This window comes from Homo sapiens, chromosome 3 (assembly GCF_000001405.40).
Source record: "Homo sapiens chromosome 3, GRCh38.p14 Primary Assembly".
In the NCBI taxonomy this organism is placed as follows: Eukaryota; Metazoa; Chordata; class Mammalia; order Primates; family Hominidae; genus Homo; species Homo sapiens.
The window spans coordinates 16,735,367-16,758,425 of record NC_000003.12 but is presented as its reverse complement, the minus strand read 5'-3'; the positions used below and the strand labels follow the sequence as shown (position 1 = coordinate 16,758,425).

The 23,059-nt window shown below is 38.6% G+C and overlaps 1 long non-coding RNA gene across 6 annotated transcripts in view, besides 1 other annotated feature; it reads right to left on the bottom strand.

Moving 5' to 3' along the window:
* PLCL2UT (PLCL2 upstream transcript) overlaps nt 1-23,059 on the bottom strand; it is a 49,186-nt gene that overhangs the window by 14,926 nt on the left and 11,201 nt on the right. For 2 of the 6 annotated variants that reach the window (NR_199590.1, NR_199587.1), the window contains exons 2-3: nt 7,368-7,458; nt 7,064-7,206 (exon numbers count right to left, since the gene is read on the bottom strand). This is a non-coding gene — a long non-coding RNA (PLCL2 upstream transcript). Of the gene's footprint in view, nt 1-7,063; nt 7,207-7,367; nt 7,459-13,598; nt 13,832-18,473; nt 18,557-23,059 lie in introns of all 6 variants that reach the window. The other 4 variants (NR_199589.1, NR_199588.1, NR_199581.1 and 1 more) reach the window with 4 other exon arrangements.
* Nucleotides 8,391-8,892: an enhancer, noted in NCBI's record as "OCT4-NANOG-H3K27ac hESC enhancer chr3:16791041-16791542 (GRCh37/hg19 assembly coordinates)". NCBI's record gives its function as "activates a minimal SCP1, AML or CMV promoter by ChIP-STARR-seq in naive H9 embryonic stem cells {active_cell/tissue: H9 hESC(naive)}" and the evidence as "EXISTENCE:reporter gene assay evidence [ECO:0000049][PMID:30033119]".

Genomic DNA, 23,059 nt, shown 5'->3' with positions numbered 1-23,059 from the left:
TAACCCAAAGACTACCTCAAGGCATTTTAAAATCAGACTTCCAAAGATTAAGGGTAAAGAGAGGATCCTAAAAGCAGCAAGAGAAAAGAAACAAATAACATACAATGGAGCTCCAATACATCCAGCAGCAGACTTTATGGTGGAAACCTTGCAGGCCAGAAGAGAGTGTCATGACATATTTAAAGTACTGAAGGACAAAAAAAATATATTTTACTCTAGAATAGTATATCTGGCAAAATTAACCTCCAAACATGAAGGATAAATACTTTCCCAGACAAACAAAAGCTGAGGGATAAGATATAAATAGTAGCAACAAAAACTTAAAAGGCCATAGTATTAATTTAAGCCATCGAGTCTTTATTAGTTTTCTTTTTGCTTGCTTGCTTGTTTGTTTATGCAAACAGTGTTAAGTTGTTATCACCTTAAAATAATAGGTTATAAGATAGTATTTGCAAGCCTCATGGTAACCTCAAACCAAAAATAAAATACAATAAATATACAAAAAATTAAAAGCAAGAAACTAAATCATATCACCAGGGAAAATCACCTTCACTAAAATGAAGACAGAAAGAAAAGAAGGAAGGAAGAGAAAACCACAAAACCAATAACAAAGTGGCATGAGTAAGTCCTTACTTATCAATAACAACGTTGAATGTCAATGGACTAAACACTCCAACCAAAAGACATACAGTGTCTGAATGGATTTAAAAAAGAAGACTCAAAGATCTGTTTCCTACAAGAAACACTCTTCACCTATAAGAACACACATAGACTGAAAATAAATGGATGAAAAAATATATTCCATGCCAATGGAAACCAAAAAAGAGCAGGAGTCACTACACATATATCAGACAAAATAGATTTCAAGACAAAGACTATAAGAAGAGACAAAGAAGATCATTATATGATGATAAAAGGGTCAATTCAGCAAGAGGATAGAACCATTGTAAATATATATGCACCTAACAGTGGAGCACCCAGATATATAAAACATATATTATCAGCGCTAAAGAGAGGAATAGGTCCCAATAAAATAATAGCTTGACTTCAACATCCCACGTTCAGCATTGGGCAGATCTTCTAGAAAGAAAATCAACAAAGAAACATCAAACTTAATCTGCACTATAGACCAGATAGATCTAATAGCTATTTACAGAGCATTTCATCCAATGGATGCAGTATACACATTCTTTGCCTCAGCACACAGATCATTCTCAAGGACAGACCATATGTCTGGCCACTAAACATGTCTTAAAACATTCCAAAAATTGAAATATTATCAAGCATCTTGTCTACAACAATGGAATAAAACTGGAAATCAATAACAGAGGAATTTTGGAAACTATAAAAATACATGGGAATTAAGCAATATGCTCTGAAAGACCAGTGGTTCAATGAAGAAATTAAGATAGATATTGAAAAATTTCTAGAAACAAGTGAAAATGGAAACACAACATGCCAAAAGCTATGGGACACAGCAAGAGCAGCAGCACTAAGAGGGAAGATTATAGCTATAAATGCCTACATCAAAAAAGAAGAAAAACTTCAAATAAATAATCTAACAATGCATCTTAAAGCACAAGAAAAGCAAGAGCAAACCAAACCAAAATTAGTAGAAAAAAAAATAATAAAGATCAGAGCAGATATAAATAAAATTGAAATTTTAAAAATTACAAAAGATGGCTGGGCACAGTGGCTCACGCCTGTAATCCCAGCACTTTGGGAGGCCGAGGTGGGCAGATCATGAGGTCAGGAGATCGAGACCATCCTGGCTAACACAGTGAAACTCTGTCTCTACTAAAAATACAAAAAAAAATTAGCCAGGCGTAGTGGCAGGCGCCTATAGTCCTAGCTACTCGGGAGGCTGAGGCAGAAGAATGGCGTGAACCTGGGAGGCGTAGCTTGCAGTGAGCCAAGATCACGCCACTGCACTCCAACCTGGGCAACAGAGTGAGACTCCGTCTCAAAAAAAAAAAATTACAAAAGATCAATGACACAAAAAGTTGTTTAACCTTTAGTCAGACTAAGAAAAAAACAGAGAAGATCCAAGTAAGTAAAATCTGAGATGAAAGGGGAGACTTTACAACTGACACCACAGAAATTCCAAGGGTCATTAGAGGCTGCTATGTGCAACTATATGCCAATAAATTGGAAAATCTAGAAGAAATTGACAAATTCCTAGACACATACAGCCTACCAAGAATGAAACATGAATAAATCTAAACTCTGACCAGACCAAGAACAAGTAATGAGATTGAAGCCATAATAAAAAGTCTCCCAGTAAAGAAAAGCTCAGGACCCAATGGCTTCACTGCTGAATTCTGCCAACCATCTAAAGAAGAACTAATACCAATCCTACTCAAACTATTCTGAAAAATAGAAGAGGAAAGAATACTTCCAAACTCATTCTATAAGGCCAGTATTACTCTGACACCGAAACTAGAAAAAGACACACCAAAAATCCAAACTACAGGCCAATATCCCTGATGAACATTAATGCAAAAATCCTCAACAAAATACTAGCAAACTGAATTTAACAACACTTAAAAAGATCATTCATCATGACCAAGTGGGATATATCCCTCGGATGTAACATATGCAAATCAATCAATGTGATATAGCATATCAACAGAACGAAGGACAAAAACCATATGATCATTTCAACTGATCCTGAAAAAGCATTTGATAAAGTTCAACATCCCTTCATGATAAAAGCCTTCAAAAAGTTTGTATAGAAGGAACATGCCTCAACAGATTAAAAGCCATATTTAACAGACCCACAGCTAGTATCATACTGAATGGGGAAATACTGGAAGCCTTTCCTCTGAAATCTGGAACACAACAAAGATAAGGATGCCCACTTTCACCACTGTTATTCAACATAGTACTGGAAGTCCTATCTACAGCAATCAAGCAAGAGAAAGATATAAAAGGCATCCAAATTGAAAAGGAAGAAGTCAAATTACTCTTGTTTGAAAATGATATAATCTTATATTTGGAAAAACCTAAAGACTCCACCAAAAAATTATCAGAACTGATAAATTCAGTAAAGTTGCAGGATACAAAATCCACATTAAAAAATCGGTAGCATTTCTATATACCCACAGTGAATAATCTGAAAAAGATATTTAAAAAGTAATCCCATTTACAATAGCCACAAATAAAATTAAATACCTAGAAATTATCCAAAGAAGTGAAAGATCTCTATAATGAAAACTATCAAACACCAATGAAAGAAATTGAAGAGAACACCAAAGAACATGAAAAGATATTTCATGTTCATGGATTGGAAGAATCAATATTGTTAAAATGTCTATACTACCCAAAACAATCTATAGATTCAATGCAATTCCTATTAAAATACCAATGTTATTCTTCACAGAAATAGAAAAAAACTATCCTAAAATTTATACGGAACAACAAAAGACCCAGAATAGTCAAAGCTATCCTAAGCAAAAAGAACAAAACTGGAAAAATCATATTACCTGACTTCAAATTGCACTACAGATCTCTAATAGCCAAACAGCATGGTAGTGGAATAAAAACAAACACACAGACCAATGGAGCAGAATAGAGAACCCAGAAACAAATCCACACACCTACAGTGAACTCATTTTCGATGAAGTTCACTTGCACTGCTATAAGGAAATACCTGAGACTGGGTATCTTATAAAGAAAAGAGATTTAATTGGCTTACAATTCTTCAGGCTGTACAGGAAGCATGGCAGCCACTGCTTCTGGGGAGGCCTGAGGGAACTTCTACTCGTAGTGGAGGGCAAAGTGGGAGCAAGCATTGTACATGGCAGGAGCAGGACTGAGAGAGAGAGGGAAAGTGCCATATGCTTTTAAACAACAAGATCTTGTGAAAACTCACTCAGTATACAGTACCAAGGGAGATGGTGCTAAATCATTCATGAGAACTTGGCCCCCATGATCCAATCACCTCCTGCTACACTAGGTCCCACCTCTAACACTGGGGATTTCAATTTGACATGAGATTTGGGCAGGAACACAGATCCAAACCATATCGGGTACCATGTACATGCAATTGGGAAAAAGACAGTCTCTTCAATAAATAGTGCTAAGAAAACTGGATACCCATAGGCAGAAGAACGAAACTAGACCCCTATCTCTCATCATATAGAAACATCAAATCAAAATGGATTAAGGAATTAAATCTAAGACCTCAAACAATGAAACTACTACAAGAAAGTGTTAGATAAACTCTCCAGGACATCAGTCTGCACAAAGATTTCTTGAGCAACACCCCACAGGTACAGGCAACCAAAGCAAAAATGGACAAATGGGATCACATCAAGTTAAAAAAAAAGCTCCTGTGCAGCAAAGGATACAATCAACAAACTGAAGAGACAACCCACACAATGGGAGAAAACATTTGCAAACTACCCATCTGATGTGGTTTGGATTTATGTCCCCACCCAAATCTCGTGTTGAATTGTAATCCCCAATGTTGGAGGTGGGGCCTAGTGGGAGGTTACTGGATCACGGGGGCAGATATCCCACTTTGCTGCTGTTCTCATGATGGAATTCTCACAAGATCAGATTGCTTAAAAGTCTGTAGCACCTCCCCGCTCTCTCTTCCTTCAGCTGTGACCATGTGAAGATGTGTCTGCTTCCCCTTCACCTTCTGCCATGATTGTAAGTTTCCTGAGGCCTCCCCAGCCATGCTTCCTGGGCAGCCTGCAGAAGCATGAGCCAGTTAAACCTCTTTTCTTTATAAATAACCCAGTCTCAGGTATTTCTTTATAGCAGTGCAAGAACGGACTAATACACCAACTGACAAGGGATAAATAACCAGAACATATAAGGAGTTCAAGTAACTCTATAGGAAAAAATCTAGTAATCCAATTAAAAATAGGCAAAAGATTTAAATATACATTTCTCACAAGAAGGCATACAGATGGCAACAGACATATAAAAAGTGCTCACCATCATTGATCATCAGAGAAGTACAAATCAAAACTACAATGAGATATCATCTCATCCCAGATTAAATGGCTTATATTCAAAAGACAGGCAATAGCAAATGCTGGCAAGGATGTGGATAAAAGGGAACCATTGTACACCTTTTGTGGGAATGTAAATTAGTACAACCACTATGGAGAACTATTTGGAGGTTCCTCACAAAACTAAAAATAGAGCTACCATATGATCCAGCATTCCACTGAGTACATACTCAAAAGAAAGAAAATCAGCAGATCAAAGAGATACCCGAGTTCCCATATTTGTTGCAGCACTGTTCACAATGGCCAAGATTTAGAAGCATCCTAAGGGTCCATCAACAGATTAATGGATAAAGAAAATGTGATAGTTATACGAGGGTGGGGAGGAGTTGGGGGATGATTAATGGGTAAGAAAAAATAGTTCAAATGAATGAATAAGGCCTAGTATTTGATAGCCCATCGGGGTGACTCTAGTCAATAAAAATTTAACTGTACATTTAAAAATAACTAAAAGAGTACAATTGGATTGTTTGTAACACAATGGATAATGCTTGAGGGGATGGATGCCCTATTTTCCATGGTGTGATTATTAGGCACTCCAAGTCTGTATCAAAATATCTCATATACCCCATAAATATACCTATTATGTACTCAGAAAAAAATTAAAAATAAGTAAATAATAAACAGTAAATAGCATTTTGAAACAGACAAAACTATAGGGAGAGAAAATAGCTCAGTAGTAATATCAGGAGTTAGAGATGGGGTAGAGTTTGACTACAAAGGACAACATAAGGCCATTTTACAGTAATAAAAATATTCTGTGTCTTGATTGTCGCAGTACTTATATCACTCACGTCAATATAAAATGAAAATATAATCAAAATAATCAACAAAAACAAAACTGGCTAGATTGATCAAGAAAGAAAAAAGAGAAGACATAAAATAAATCTAAGGAATAAAAATGAAGATGTAACTTCAGATACTTCTGATACCAAAAGAAAATTAGAGAATATTAAAAAGAGTATCAATACACTTGAAAACTTAAATGAAATGTACAAATTCCTAGAAAAATATAAACCAACAAAACTGACTCAAAAGAAAAAACCCAGAGAACTTCAATAGTCTTAAAAGTATGAAGTAAATTGAATAGAAACTTTTAAATCTTCCCATAGGCTGGGTGTGATGGTATACTCCCACAGCCTCAGTTACTTGGGAGGCTGAGGCAGGAGATTCCCTTGAGACCAGGAGTTTGAGGCTGTATTGTGCTATGACTGTGTCTGTACATAGCCACTGCATTCCAGCCTGGGCAACATAGCAAGACTCTGTCTCTAAAAATTTACCCCAAAAAATCTTCCCACGAAACACATCAGGCCTATGTGGATTTTTTTAGTGATTTATAGCAAACATTAAAGAACAAACATTTTAAAACTATGCAAGGTATCCTGAAGTATGAAAAAGAGAGAGCATTTCCCAACTCATTTGATGAGGCCAGCATAATTGCACAGTAAAAACTGACAAAGATAATGTGAGAAACAAAAATTAAAACCCAATTTAAATCATAAATACAGATACAAAAATCCTAAACAAAATATAAGCAAACTAAATTTAAAAACATAGTAGGAAAAGATGATAACATATGGCCAAATTAATTTCATTTCAGGAATGAGAGGTTGGCTTAACAATAGAAACCAAGTATTACAATTAACTACCATATATATATATATATATATATATATATATATATATATATATATATATATATATATATATATATATTTTTAGACGGAGTCTCGCTCTTTCGCCCAGGCGGGACTGCAGTGGCACTATCTCAGCTCACTGCAAGCTCTGCCTACAATCTTAATTTAAAGAATAAATATAATACAATCATCTTAAAAAAATACAGAAAAACATGTTGTATAAAATTCAACATGAATTCCTGATAAACATTCTTATCAAACTAGTAATACAAAGACATTTCCTTTTCTGATAAATGGCATATACTAAAAACCTACTGCAAATGTTATGTTATATTTAAATGGTGAAATGTTGAAAAAATTCCCTTTAAATTCAGGAGAGAAAAAAAAATACAGGGCACTTACCATCAACTTTTGTATTTAATCTTGTACTGGAGGTTTTAACCAATACAATAGAAGGAAGTTGAAGAGTATAGATGGGATATGATAAAACAAAATAGTCATTATTCACAGTTGATATGATGTCTACGTAGTCTTTCGCAGAGAATCTACACAAAAATACAAGCCAATTAAAGAGCTGAACAATTTTGACAAAAATGCAATATATAAAACTAAAACATTAGTACAATCAGAATGTATAATTTTAAAGAAACATAACTTATAATAGCATAAAACACATGAGGTGTTAGTTGGACACAGTGGTATGTACCTGTAGTTTCAGCTACTCAGGAGGCAGAGGTGGATCAATCGCTTGAGCCCAGGAGTTCAAGGCCAGCCTGGGCAACATAGTGAGACTCCGTCTATGAGACAAAAAAAAAGAGATAATCTACTAAAGATGTGCAAAGCTGAATGGGGAGAATGATACATCTGTGAAATATATTCAAAAAGACAAAAATAAAGGAGTACTTAATATGCTATGTTGATTTGTCAGAAAATTCAATTTTATAGAGATGTCAATTCTTCCCTAATCTGTAGAGTCAAATTAATTTTAACAAAAATTGTAATAGGCTTTTATTTTATTACTTTTAAAAATTTTGTAGGTACATAGTAAGTATGTATATTTATGGGGTACATGAAATGCTTTGATGCAGGCTTGCAATGTCAAATAAGCACATCATGGAAAATGGAGTATCCACCCCCTCAAGAATTTATCCTTTGAGTTACAAACAATTCAATTTCATCCTTAGGTTACTTTAGGTTACACCATACATTAAAATCAATTTCAGTTCAAGCACATCTTTAAATATGAAAAGCAGAGATATAAAGCACTTAGAAGATAATTTGAGAGTATAGCTTTATGAACTTGAAGTAAGAAAAAATTTATTTAAGAAAAAAAACACAAAATCACATAACATGATTACAGACTTAGTTCCATTAAAATTAAGAACTTTTGCTCACCAAAATATATAATAAAGAGAATAAAAGGAGAGGACAGTGTTTGGAAATCTTGTAACATATACGATTGACAAAGTGTCAGTATTCACACTATAAAATGAACTACAAATCAATTTTTAAAAGACAACACAACAGAAGAATGGGCGAAACACTTAGGCACTTCAGAAAAGAAAAAATACGAATGGTCCACAGAAATGTGAAAAGATGCTCAATCTCATTAGTAATCGGGTACATGTACATTAAAACCAGATTGAGATACAATTTTATTCACACAAGTTAGACTAATTTAAGAAATGTGATAATGTCTTTCATGTGCGTCCGTGTAAAGAGACCACCAAACAGGCTTTGTGTGAGCAATAAAGTTTTTAATCACCTGGGTGCAGGCAGGCTGAGTCCGAAAAGAGAGTCAGGGAAGGGAGATAAGGGTGGGGCTGTTTTATAGGATTTGGGTAAATAAAGGAAAATTACAGTCAAAGGGGATTGTTCTCTGGCGGGCAGAGTGGGGGTCACAAGGTGCTCAGTGGGGGAGCTTTTGAGCCAGGATGAGCCAGGGAAAGGACTTTCACAAGGTAATGTCATCACTTAAGGTAAGGACCGGCCATTTTCACTTCTTTTGTGGTGGAATGTCATCAGTTAAGGTGGGGCAGGGCATATTCACTTCTTTTGTGATTCTTCAGTTACTTCAGGCCATCTGGGCGTATACGTGCAAGTCACAGGGGTTGCGATGGCTTGGCTTGGGCTCAGAGGCCTGACATTCCTGCCTTCTTATATTAATAAGAAAAATAAAACAAAATAGTTTTGAAGTGTTGGGGTGGTGAAAATTTTTTGGGGGGTGGTATGGAGAGAGAGAATGGGCGAAGTTTCTCAGGGCTGCTTCAAGCGGGATTAGGGGCGGCGTGGGAACCTAGAGTGGGAGAGATTAAGCTGAAGGGAGATTTTGTGGTAAGGGGTGATATTGTGGGGTTGTTAGAAGAAACATTTGTCATGTAGAATTATTGGTGATGACCTGGATACGGTTTTGTATGAATTGAAAAACTAAATGGAATAACAGAAGGAGAAAAACAGGTATAAAAGGTCTAAGAATTGGGACGACCCAAGATACCTGATTAGAGAGTGCTTAAGGAGATTCAGCATAGTCCTGCCAGCAAAGATTATTTATTTACTTCAAGAGTTAAGAGTGGCAGTTTGGGGATAGCACCAAGAGATATCAGCTGTGATGGCTTGGAGAAACAGTGGAAACCGGCAGTGTAAACAAGAGCAGGGCATGTATGAGTAGTTGAGAATGGTGAATAGCAGTATGACTAGACAGAAGATAGTAGGGATGACAAGTTTTTTTGGGGCACAGTCTAAGTTGGTCTGGTGTCTGGAATGAGACTGGGGCCTAATAAAAAGGAGCGTCTATAGAGGAGCTCAAATGGGCTATACCTTGTAGCATTCTGAGGACAGGTCTGACTTCTGAGAAGGGAAAGTGGTAAAAGTATTGTCCAGTCCTTTTTAAGTTGGTGGCTGAGCTTGGTGAGGTGTGTTTTTAAAAGACCTTTAGTCCGTTCTACTTTTCCTGAAGACGGAGGACCATAAGGGATATAAAGGTTTCACTGAATACTAAGAGCCTGAGAAACTGCTTGGCTGATTCGACTAATAAAGGCTCGTCTGTTATCAGACTGTATAGAGGTGGGAAGGCTAAACTGAGGAATTATGTCTGATGGAAGGGAACAAATGACTGCGGTGGCCTTCTCAGACCCTGTAGGAAAGGCCTGTACCTATCCAGTGAAAGTGTCTACCTAAACTAAGAGTTATTTTACTTATCTGACTCGGGGCATGTTGAGTAAAGCTAATTTGCCAGTCCTGGGTAGGGGCAAATCCTTGAGCTTGATGTGTAGGGAAGGGAGGGGGCCTGAATAATCCCTGAGGAGTAGTAGAATAGCAGATGGAACACTGAGAAGTTATTTCCTTGAGGATAGATTTCCACGATGGAAAGGAAATGAGAGGTTCTAAGGGGCGGGCTAGTGGCTTGTACTATAGCATAGCCTGCCTTTGCTGGTGTATAGCAATTAGGCCTGGTGGAACCGCCATCAATAAATCAAGTGTGATCAGGGTGAGGAACAGGAAAGAAGGAAATATGGGGAAATGGGGTGAATGCCAGGTGGATCAGAAAGATACAGTCATGGGGGTCAGGTGTGGTATCAGGAATAATGTGGGAGGCCGGATTGAAGTCCAGGCTGGGAACAATGGTAATTGTGGGACTTAACAAAGAGTGAGTACAGCTGAAGGAGCCGGGGAGCAGAAAGTATATGCGTCAGATATGAGGAAGAAAATAGATTTTGGAAGTTATGAGAAATGTAGAGAGTGAGTTGAGCGTAGTTTGTGATTTTCAGGGCCTCTAAAAGTATTAAAGCAGCGGCAGCCGCTGCACACAGACATGAGGGCTAGGCTAAAACAGTAAGGTCAAGTTTTTTGCAAAGAAAGGCTACAGGGTGCCGTCCTGGCTCTTGTGTAAGAATTCTGACCACACTAACCATGCCTAGGAAGGAAAGGAGTTGTTGTTTTGTAAGGGATTGAGGTTTGAGAGATTAATCGGACACGATCAGCAGGGAAAACACTTGTGTTTTTATGAGAATTATGCTGAGATAGGTAACAGATAAGGAAGAAATTTGGGCTTGACTGAAGTAATGGGGGGCTGTCTGTGAAGCTTTGTGGCAGTACAGCCCAGGTAATTTGCTGAGCCTGATGGGTGTCAGGGTCAGTCTAGTGAAAGCAAAGAGAGGCTGGGATGACAGATGCAAAGGAATAGTGAAGAAAGCATGTTTGAGATCCAGAACAGAATAATGGATTGTGGAGGGAGGTATTGAGGATAGGATAGTATATGGGTTTGGCACCATGTGGTGGATAGGCAAAAGAATTTGGTTGATAAGGCATAGATCCTGAACTAACTTGTAAGGCTTGTCTGGTTTTAGGACAGGTAAAATGGGGGAATTGTAAGGAGAGTTTATAGGCTTTAAAAGGCCATGCTGTAGCAGGCAAGTGATAACAGGCTTTAATCCTTTCAAAGCATGCTGTGGGATGGGATATTGGCATTGATCAGGGTAAGGGTGATTAGGTTTTAATGAGATGGTAAGGGGTGCATGATCGGTTGCCAAGGAGGGAGTAGAGGTATCTTATACTTGTGGGTTAAAGTGGGGGAATACAAGAGGAGGATGCAAAGGAGGCTTTGGATTGGGAAGAAGGGCAGCAATGAGATGTAGCTGTAATCCAGGAATAGTCAGGGAAGCAGATAATTTAGTTAAAGTGTCTCGGCCTAATAAGGGAACTGGGCAGGTGGGGATAACTAAAAGGAGTGCTTAAAAGAGTATTGTCTAAATTGTACCAGAGTTGGGGAGTTCTAAGAGGTTTAGAAGCCTGGCTGTCAATACCCATAACAGTTATGGAGGCAAAGGAAACAGGCCCTTGAAAATAAGGTAATGTGGAGTGGGTAACCTCCGTATTGATTAAGAAGGGGACGGGCTTACCTTCCACTGTGAGAGTTACCCGAAGCTCGGCGTCTGTGATGGTCTAGGGCGATTCCAAGGCGATCGGGCAGTGTCAGTCTTCAGCCGCTAAGCCAAGAAGATCTGGGAAGGAGTCAGAGAGCCTTAGGCCAGAGTTCCAGGGGCTCTGGGAGTGGCTGCCAGGTGAGTTGGACAGTCCGATTTCCAGTGGGATCCCGCACAGATGGGATGCGGCTTAGGAGGAATCCTGGGCTGCAGGCATTCCTTGGCCTGGGGGCCAGATTTCTGGCACTTGTAGCAAGCTCCTGGGGGAGAAGGTTCTGGAGGAACGCCTGGCCACTGCGGTTCAGGCATTTGGAAGTTCTTGTGTGCTGGAGATATGGCTGGGGTTTGTCTCACAGTGGAGGCAAGGAATTGCAACTTTTTTCTATTATTGTACACCTTGAAGGTGAGGTTAATTAAATCCTGTTGTGGGGTTTGAGGGCCAGAATTTAATTTTTGGTGTTATATTTAATGTTGGGAGCAGATTGGGTAATAAAATGTATATTGAGAATAAGACAGCCTTTTGACCTTTTAGGGTCTAGGGCTGTAAAGCGTTTCAGGGTTGCTGCCAAACGAGTCATGAACTGGGCTGGATTTTTATATTTGATGAAGAAGAGCCTAAACGCTATCTGATCTGGGATAAAGAAAAAGGAGCATTAACCTTGACTATGCCTTTAGCTCCAGCCACCTTTTTAAGAGTAAATTGCTGGGCAGGTGGGGGAGGGCTAGCCACGGAATGAAACTGTAAGCTGGACCAGGTGTGACGAGGGGAGGTGATGAAAGGATTATAGGGTGGAGGAGCAGAGGCTGAGGAAGAATTGGGACCTAGCTCAGCCTGGCGAGAAGCAGCCTGGGGAGGAGGGGAGAGGTCAGATGGGTCTGTAGAAAGGGAAGATTAGAAAGACTCAGCAACACTTGGGGTTGGGACTGAGGGGACAGGTGGGAGGGAAAGAAGGAAGATTTGGGATGAGTTGCACTGGGAACAGAGACTAGAGAGGGACTCATGTGTAAAAGAATGCCTGGAAGTCAGGCACCTCAGACCATTTGCCCATTTTATGACAAGAATTATTTAGATCGTGTAGGATGGAAAAATTGAAAGTGCCATTTTCCGGCTATTTGGAACTACTGTCGAGTTTGTATTGAGGTCAAGCAGCATTGCAGAAGAAAATAAGATGCTTAGATTTTAGGTCAGGTGAGAGTTGAAGAGGTTTTAAGTTCTTAAGAACACAGGCTAAGGGAGAAGAAGGAGGAATGGAAGGTGGAAGCTTGCCCATAGTGAAGGAGGCAAGCCCAGAGAAAAGAGTAGAGACACGGAGAAGGGGTGGAGGGTTGTTGCCCTCCAGAAAAGCAGAGAAGGGGTCGGGGTGCAGAGATATGAGGTCAGGGCATGGAAATAAGGGATCAGGGTGCAGAGATATAAGAGGTTGGGGTGCGGAAATAAGGGATCAGGGTGCAGAGATATAAGAGTTCGGGGGCGGAAATAAGGGATTGGGGCACAGAGATAAGAGGGTGGGGTGTGGAAATAAGGGATTGGGGTGCAGAGATACGAGGTTGGGGTACTTGACCCTCCCCCAGAAAAGCGGGACTTGCCACTAAGGGTGATGGAGAAGGGGTTGGGGGTTTCTTGCCCCCCAGAAAGGCGGAGAAGGGGTAGAGACACGGAGAGAAGGGATTGGGGTACTTGCCTCTTCCCCAGAAAAGCAGGACTTGCCACTAAGGGTGAAGGACCAAGGCAGGCATCCCCACATGGTCTGACACCTCTGAAACCTGGGTGAATAATCAGAGAGGTGTCCCTGCAATGATTGAACACCAAGGGAAGGCTGCCCTCCCTAGTCCATGACCGGTGCTGGAGTTTTGGGTCCACGGATAAAACATGTCTCCTTTGTCTCTACCAGAAAATGAAAGGAATTGAAATTAAGAGAAGGGAGAGATTGAAGTGTGGTGCCAAGATTGAAAGGAGAAAGAGGTTGAGGGATAGTGAGGGAGGCTGGAGAAGAGAGTAAAAAGAGGCCGCTTACCGGATATGAAATTGGTGAGATGTTTCTTGGGCTGGTCGTCTGAGGACCTGAGGTCGTAGGTGGATCTTTCTCACAGAGCAAAGAGCAGGAGGACAGGGGATTGATCTCCCAAGGGAGGTCCCCCAATCCGAGTCACGGCACAAAATTTCATGCGCGTCCGTGTAAAGAGACCACCAAACAGGCTTTGTGTGAGCAATAAAGCTTTTAATCACCTGGGTGCAGGCAGGCTGAGTCTGAAAAAAGTCAGCGAAGGGAGATAAGGATGGGGCCGTTTTATAGGATTTGGGTAAATAAAGGAAAATTACAGTCAAAGGGGGTTGTTCTCTGGTGGGCAGAGTGGGGGTCACAAAGTGCTCAGTGGGGGAGCTTTTGAGCCAGGATGAGCCAGGAAAAGGACTTTTACAAGGTAATGTCATCACTTAAGGCAAGGACCAGCCATTTTCACTTCTTTTGTGGTGGAATATCATCAGTTAAGGCAAGGACCAGCCATTTATGCTTCCTTTGTGGTGGAATGTCATCAGTTAAGGTGGGGCAGGGCATATTCACTTCTTTTGTGATTCTTCAGTTACTTCAGGCCATCTGGGCGTATATGTGCAAGTCACAGGGGATGCGATGGCTTGGCTTGGGCTCAGAGGCCTGACAATGTCTAATGTTGGAGAGAGGATGGAGTAACAGAAATGCTCACACACTACTGGGGGAGTGTGAATTTGTACAACCATGTTGGAAGACTATTTAGCTTTACCTAGTAGAGGTGAACTTTTGTATGTCTTATGACCCAGGAATTTCACTTCAATTTATGCCCTAGAAAAATTATTGCACCTGTGTGTCTGTAGGCAAAGATATTCACAGTAGCCTCATGTATAATAATGAAAAATTGGAACTAACCTAAAAGTTCATTAATAAAAGAATGACTAAATAAATTTTGCTGTATTCACATAATGGAATATACACATAAGTGAAATAAACTACAGTCACATGCCTCAATATGGAGAACCCCAGAAGTGTTAAATTTAGTTAAATAAGTATCTTACAGAAGGATGTACAACTGCATACATTATACTTGCATAAAGAATTCCATTAATATAAATTTCAAAACATGATCACTACGCATTGCATACAGGTATCAAAATATCACATGTACCTCCAAAATATGTACAACTATTATATATCAATTTAAAAATTACATTAAAACATGTAAAACTAATTAACATATTATCTAAAAATACAAACACATGATTAAACTATCACAAAAGAAGGGAAATTAAGCACAGGAAAAGATGCTCAGTATCATTAGTCATTAGGGAAATGTAAATGAAAACCACAGTGAGTCACCATTTCATACCCACTAGGATGGCTATAATCAAAAAGACAGATAATACAAAGGGTTGATAAGGATGTGGAGAAACTGGAACCCTCATACTTCTACTGGAAATGTAAAATGCTGTCATCACTTTGGAAAACAGTCTGGCAAAGTGTGAAACACTCTGAAAGACAGTTACTCAAAAGTTTAAATACAGAGTTACCATATAACCCAGCAATTCCACTCCAAGGTATTGAAATACTCCAAAAGAACTGAAAATGTAAGACTACACAAACTTGTACTTGAATGTTCATAACAGCATTATTCATAATAGTCAAAAATGTAAACAACCTAAATGTCCATCAACAGACAAATGAACAAATAAAATGTGATGTATTCACACAATGGAATATTACTCAGTAATAAAAAGGAATGGCATATTGATACAGTCTGCAACATAGATGACCCTTGAAAACATGTTAAGTGAAGGAGCCAGACACAAAAGACCACATATTCTATAATTTTATTTCTATGAAATACCCCAAATAGGAAATCTAAATAGAAATAAAATTGATTAGTGATTGCCTAGGGTGGGAGTTAGGGGAAAGGGGAGAATGAATATAACTGCTAAGAAGTACAGGGTTTCTTTAGGGGATAATGAAAATGTTTTAAAATGTATTGTAGTGATGGTTGTACAACTCTGTTAATGTACAAAAAACATTAATTATATACTTTAAATGGGTCCATTGTATGATATGTGAATGATATTGCAAAAAAAGCTGTTATAAAAGATAAAATAAGGGCATGGGAGTACAAACAAAAATTTATAATAATGGTTACCTTTGAGAGGGAGAGAATGGAATAGAATTAGGGAGGAACCCACAGAACATTTCACAGTAAGATGCTTTTTATTAAACTAGATGATGGCACACATTGGTATGCTATATCATAATCTAATAACATAGACATATGTTATTAAATAATTAAAATTATTTTAATGGCTAAGAAGCATATGAAAAAGTTTAACCCCTCAAATATTAATAAGACAACAATCACATTGTTATTTTTAAACCTGTGAAATTACTAAGTGTTTGCATTTGTGTGGTGAAACACATGATCTTATACACTGCTGGTGGGGGGGGTGTTGGACATTGGTAGAAGCTGTCTGGGGAACAAATCTCACAACATGTACCATGAACCTTAAAATATGCATACTCTTTCATCTGGCATTTCTATTTCTGGGAGTATATTTATATCCTTCTCCCTCTGAATCTGGGAAGGCCCCGTGACTTGCTTTGACTGACAAGGTGAAGCAGAAGTAAGGCACTGGGACTTCCAGGCCTAGGCCTTAAGAGGACTGTCTGGGAATTTCCACTCTCTACATCCTGGAAGCTGGTCACCACGCTATAAATAAGCTCAGGCTACACTGCGGAATGATGAAAAGCCACACGGAGAGAGGCCCAGGAGGAGAAGAGACTGTCTTGGATGGGACAGCCCCAGCCACTCATCAGCTGAATGCAGCTCCATGAGCAACCTCAACTATACCACAAGGAGCAGAACTTCCCAGCTGAGCCCAGCCAGCCCACAGAATAGTGAGAAATGAATCATTGTCTTTGTTTTAAGCCACTAAGTTTGGGGGTGATTTGCAATGCAACAACAGAGCTAAACAATATCCTAAAGACATAATGAGAGATGTGAACAAATATTTATGGACAAGGCTGCACATAAGTGTTACAGGCAATAATAAAAAATTAGAATGTATCTAAATGCCTGTGTTGGCATCTATTGTTTCTTTGTCTACTCAGCATCATTTCTATTTTGTAACAGAATCCAGAATTTAAGAAAACCTCCCTCCTCATTTTCAGTCAATGTGGTTCCAATGAGGTTTTTCCCTACCCAGGAGTGAACATATGACTCAGACTTGGCAAAAGACCCCTTGGGGTTAGTTCAAGGATGGGCCATGACTCACGCAATGTGGTCACAATCAGAGTGAATCCAAGACTTGCTCAGGAGTTGTAGGAAAGTGTTCTTTCTTTTTAGACTGTTCGTAGCCAGAATGATTGAAGATGAGAGTTTCTAAGGTTGAGAATTAAGTGAACACCACAGAAGGTAGAACTGGGGGATGCAGAGAACCATGTCTACATGACATTTTTTAGTCCCTACATCAAGCTATACCCTGGACTTTCGGGTATTTAAGCCAGTATGAGTCCTTTGGCTTAATCCAGTTAAGTTGGGTTTTCTGTCTCTTGCAATCAAGATTCCTAACCAGTATAAGGTCTGTCTAAGTCAGGGAAAGTTTGTTTGCAAAGGAAAAGACATTCACCCAAACTAATTCCAGAAAACCAGGGAAAGTAAAGGAAGCAGAGATTCTTATGGAATTCACGAGAATTAGAAATTTAACAAACTGCAAATCTCTCCATTTTTTGTAGTTTCTATTTTAAATGTGTCTGCATCCTTTTTTTCTGCTTTATAGCTGGTTCTTCTGTCCTTTTAATACAGAAATTATCATAATAATCTCAGTTATTATGATAACCAGATGTTGTAAACCAGATGGTTCATAAAGTCAAAAAAAATTATGGAACCCAGACTTTATGTTACCTTTAAACTTGTTTCCCACACATCTAGATCACATAGTATCAGTATCCCAGTGCTAAATTCCCAGAGTAAAGATCTGATGGGCCCAGCTTTGGCCAAGTGTCTACCATGTCCAAAATCAATATTTATGATGTCTCTAGGGGTTCTCTTTTTTGAAGCTGTGAGCTGAACATGTTTTCTAAAGAAAGATGTGGTCAAGGAGTAAATTATCTGCATTTCTAGAACACCACAAAACAAAGGAGGAATAAGTAAGCAAATGGTGATGCAGTATGTAACTTATGCAGTCACCCAAAACATGTTTTCAAAAAGCACTTAACATTATTCAACAAATGATGCAGGGACAACGGGATTGCCACATGCAAAGGAATGGAGTTGGACTCACCTCATGCCATGTACAAAAATCAACTGCAAATGGATCAAAGAGCTAAATATAACAGTTAAAACTATAAAACTCTTAGAAGAAAACTTAGTTGTACATCTCCATGACCTTAGATTTGGCAATGATTTCTTAGATGTGAGACCAAATGATAAGCAACAAAAGAAAAAATAGGTAAGTTGGGCTTCATAAAATTAAAAGCTTTTGTGTATCAAAGCACACTGTCAAGAGAGTGAAAAGACAGCCCATAGAATAGGAGAAAATATTTATAAATCCTATATCTGATAAGGGTTTAATGTCCAGAATAGGTAAATGATTTATATAACTCAACAGCAACAACAAAACCACCCAATTTTAAAAAAGGCAAAAGACTTGAATTGACATTGCTCTAAAGAAGATATACAAATGGCCAACAAACACATGGAAAGACATTCAATGCCATTAGTGGTTACGAAAATGCAAATTAAAACCACAAAGAGTTATCATGTCATCTCTACCAAGATAACTATATTCAAAAACGTAGACAATAACAAGTGTTGGAAAGGATGTGGAGAAATTGGAACACTCACACATTGCTAGTGGAAATGTAAAATGGTGGACTCACTGTAGAAAACAATTTGGCATTTCTTCAATAAGTTAAACATAGAATTACCAGATGATTCAGCAATTCTGCTCCTAGCCGTATATCTAAAAGAATTGAAAACAGATGTTCAGACAAAAACTTACACATAAATGTTCACAGCAGCAGTATCCACAATAGTCAAAAAGTAGAAACAACCCAAATGTCCATCAAATAATGAGTGGATAAACAAAATGTGGTACAACCATACAATGAAATATTATTCAGCCTTAAAATGGAATGAAGTACGATACAGGCTACGACATAGATATCCCTGAAACATTATGCTAATGAAATAATCCAGTCACAAAAAGACCACACATTATATGATTCATTCATATGAAATGTCTCCCATAGGCAAATCCATAGAGACATAAATAAGTTTTGTGGTTGCTACAGAAAAGGGGAAAAATTGGGGAATAAGGTTTAATGGGCACAGAATTTCCTTTAGGGGTGATGAAAATGTTTTGGAAGTAGATAGTGATGATGGTTGTATAACATTATGAGTGTGTTAGATGGCTTTGAATTGTACACTTTAAAATGGTGAATCTTATGTTGTACATTTTAAAATTATTTATTTATTTATTTATTTATTTATTTTTAAAGAGATGGCCAGCCTGGGCAACATAGCAAGACTTCGTCTCTACTATAAATTTTTAAAAATTAGCCAGGTGTGGTGGTGTGTGGAGGCAGAAGAGGAAGGATCACTTGAGCCCAGGAGTCCAAGGTTGCAATGAGCTATAATTGTGCCACTGCACTCCAGCCTGGGTGACAGATTAAGCCCCCATCTTGAAAAAAAAAAAAAAAAAAGAGAAAGAAAGAAACAAATGAGTCTCACTATGTTGCCTAGGCTGGCCTTGAACTCTTGGGCTCAAGTGATTGTCTCACCTCAGCCTCCTGAATAGCTGAGACTACAGGCATGCACCACTGCACCTGGCTATTATACATATTTTAGCACAAAACAAATGTTTAATATCAGGAACACATAAGTGCTTTTAATGTAAAAAAGTCAAAATTTAAAAGTGAATGATTCCAATTTTGTTTTTTAAATGTAAACAGAGGAAAATGACAGGAAGCAGCGATCATTAATTCTAGATAGTGGCATCTGGGTGATTTGCACTTAGTTCTTTATACCATTTTATATTTTCCAAATTTTCCATTGTGACCACATATTGTCTAATAATCAGAAAAAAATGTTCTAAATAATTGAAAACAAAGTCATTGTTGCACGCATTACTAATGCTCACCAATGTCAGGTTGTCCTCTCCTCCCTAAGCACTAAGAAATGTGTACTTCTCAGACTCCTGCAATTAGGCAGGGCAATGTGACTAGTCACAGGCAATGAACAGTGAGCAGAAGTCATATGTGTGACTTCATTGGTTATTTATTTTTGTGTAGCAAAGTACCCAGAACTTAGTGGCTTAAAACAACAACAATCACTATTTACCTCATAAATCTACAGTTAAGGCTAGGTTCAATGGAAACACCTCAATTCTGCCTCAGGTCATCACCTGGGTGGCCTAAAGGCTGGGAGTGGAATCACATGAAAGCTGGCTCTTTCTCATGTCTGGGAGTTGATGCTGGCTCTGTAGGCAGGGACCCCAGCTGGGTCTATTAGCTAGAAAAGCTGAATGACTGCCATACAAGCTTTCACAACGTGAGAAAGGAGACATCCAATGGCTTATGCTGGGCACCATCAATATTTTTTTTTTTAGAACGTGTACCCACATTAAGATGAGCTGAAGAGTTCAAGTACTGTTTCCCTATTATTGAAGAAAATTGCAAATATGGGTAAAAATTCTTGCAAGAGGCAATCCTGGAAAAACAAATGTAATGCTCATTAAGCAAGGAATTTTTATCTTTCTTTTCAAAGCATATTGTCAACATGTATGAAAAAACCCAAGAGGACATATTTGCTAAAAATAACACAACATTGCAAAAGCACTTAGAAAATCAAGTAATTTATTAAAAGAAATTTAAGATGCTTTGGAAATATCTTTAATATTTGAGCATAATGCTGTAATAAGAACAGATATGGCAAAAGAAAGAATATTGAGCCACAAATGCTGGGTAGTTGACTAGTCTGAGTAGATGTGACATTTCTGCTCAATCTTTCTCCCCAAATGGAGTAAGAGTCCACAGAAAAGTCTACAGCAACCCTGTCTAAGTAATCTGTCCCATCCGCCACCCACCACTCCAACCATTTTAATCACACTTTATCTGTGCAAGTGGCCTTCCAGGGCCCCATGCTGGACACAGGAGTTCAACAACTCCTGGCTGCAGTATGATATTTAGAGTCCAAGAATATTTCCCACTAACTGGATCTGATAGAGTTTCTACCTCAATGAAAATGAGGAAAATATTTGGAGTCAGATTAATCAATCTTAATGGGTCAAACAAAAGGCGGGAGGTAAGCTTCAAGGTCAAGCATATGAGGACCCCAGGGGAGCTATGAGTCCAGGAAGTTGAGAGTGGCTGTAGGTGGGCCTGGTCTGGAAGAACTCCCTGAACTGAAAAACAATCAGCCCCATAAAGTTTCCATTGCACTTGAGTCCTTGTGTGGGCACAGACAATTTCTTGTTACATTTGTTCTTAGCCTAGAATAAGATGGTAATAATCAAGGATGCAGAGCTAGAGAAACTTCTCTACTATACCAAAATTTTCTAAAAGGCAACCTAAGTCTGTATTAAAATTAACACACAGGGTGCTGGTGGGTAAAGTTACAGAGCTTAAGAGTAAGCATGAGTTAAAATGTTGATCCTCCCAAAGATGTGAATAGACATTTCTCCAAAGAAATTATACAAATGGTCAATAAGCACACAAAAAGATTCTCAATATCACTACTCACCAGGGAAATGTAAACCAAAACCACAATAAAATACCACTTCACTTCCACCAGGATGGCTATTACGTAAAAACACATAAAATAAGTGTTGAAAAGAACATGGAGAAATTAGAACCCTTGTGCATTACTGGTGGGAATGTAAAACCATTGTGCAGTGGCTATGGAAAACAGTGTGGTAGTTCCTCAAAAAATGAAAGAATTGCCGTATAATCCAGAAATTCCATTTCTTTTTTTTTTAAATTTTATTTTAAGTTCTGGGATACATGTGTAGAATGTGCAGGTTTGTTACATAGTTATACATGTGCCATGGTGGTTTGCTGCACCCATCAACCCATCATCTAGGTTTTAAGCCCCACATGCATTAGGTATTTATCCTAATGCTATCCCTCCCCTTGCCCCCTACCCCCCGACAGGCCCCAGTGTGTGATGTTCCCCTCCCTGTGTCCATGTGTTCTCATTGTTCAACTCCCACTTATGAGTGAGAACACAGTGGTGCTTGGTTTTCTGTTCCTGGGTTAGTTTGCTGAAAATAATGGTTTCCAGCTTCATCCATGTCCCTGCAAAGGACATGAACTCATTCTTTCTTATGGCTGCATAGTATTCCATGGTGTATATGTACCACATTTTCTTTATCCACTCCATCATTGATGGGCATTTGGGTTGGTTCCAAGTCTTTGCTATTGTAAATGATGTTGCAATAAACATATGTGTGCATGTGTCTTTATAGTAGAATGATTTATAATCCTTTGGGTATATACCCAGTAATGGGATTGCTGGGTCAAATGGTATTTCTGGTTCTAGATCCTTGAGGAATTGCCACACTGTATTCCACAATGGTTGAACTAATTTACACTCTCACCAACAGTGTAAAAGAGTTTCTATTTCTCCACATCCTTGCCAGCATCCGTTGTTTCCTGACTTCTTAATGATTGCCATTCTAACTGGTGTGAGATGGTATCTCATTGTGGTTTTGATTTGCATTTCTCTAATGACCAGTGATGATGAGCTTTTTTTCATGTTTGTTGGCTGCATAAATGTCTTTTTTTGAGAAGTGTCTGTTCATATCCTTTGCCCAGTTTTTGGTGGGGTTGTTTTTTTCTTGTAAATTTATTTAAGTTCCTTGTAGATTCTGAATATTAGACTTTGTCAGATGAATAGATTGCAAAAATTTTCTCCCACTCTGTAGGTTGCCTGTTCACTCTGATGATAGTTTCTTTTGCTGTGCAGAATCTCTTTAGTTTAATTAGATCCCATTTGTCAATTTTGGCTTTTGTCACAATTGCTTTTGGTGTTTTAGTCATGAAGTCTTTGCCCATGCCTATGTCCTGAATGGTATTCCCTAGGTTTTCTTCTAGGGTTTTTATGGTTTTAGGTTTTATGTTTAAGTCTTTAATCAATCTTGAGTTAATTTTTATATAAGGTGTAAGGAAGGTGTCCAGTTTCTATTTTCTGCATATGGCTAGCCAGTTTTCCCAGCACAATTTATTACATAGGGAATCCTTTCCCCATTGCTTGTTTTTGTCAGGTTTGTCAAAGATCAGATGGTAGTAGATGTGTGGTGTTATTTCTGAGGTCTCTCTTCTGTTCCACTGCTCTATATATCTGTTTTGGTACCAGTACCATGCTGTTTTGGTTACTGTAGCCTTGTAGTATAGTTTGAAGTCAGGTAGCGTGATGCTTCCAGCTTTGTTCTTTTTGCTTAGGATTGCCTTGGCTCTATGGGCTC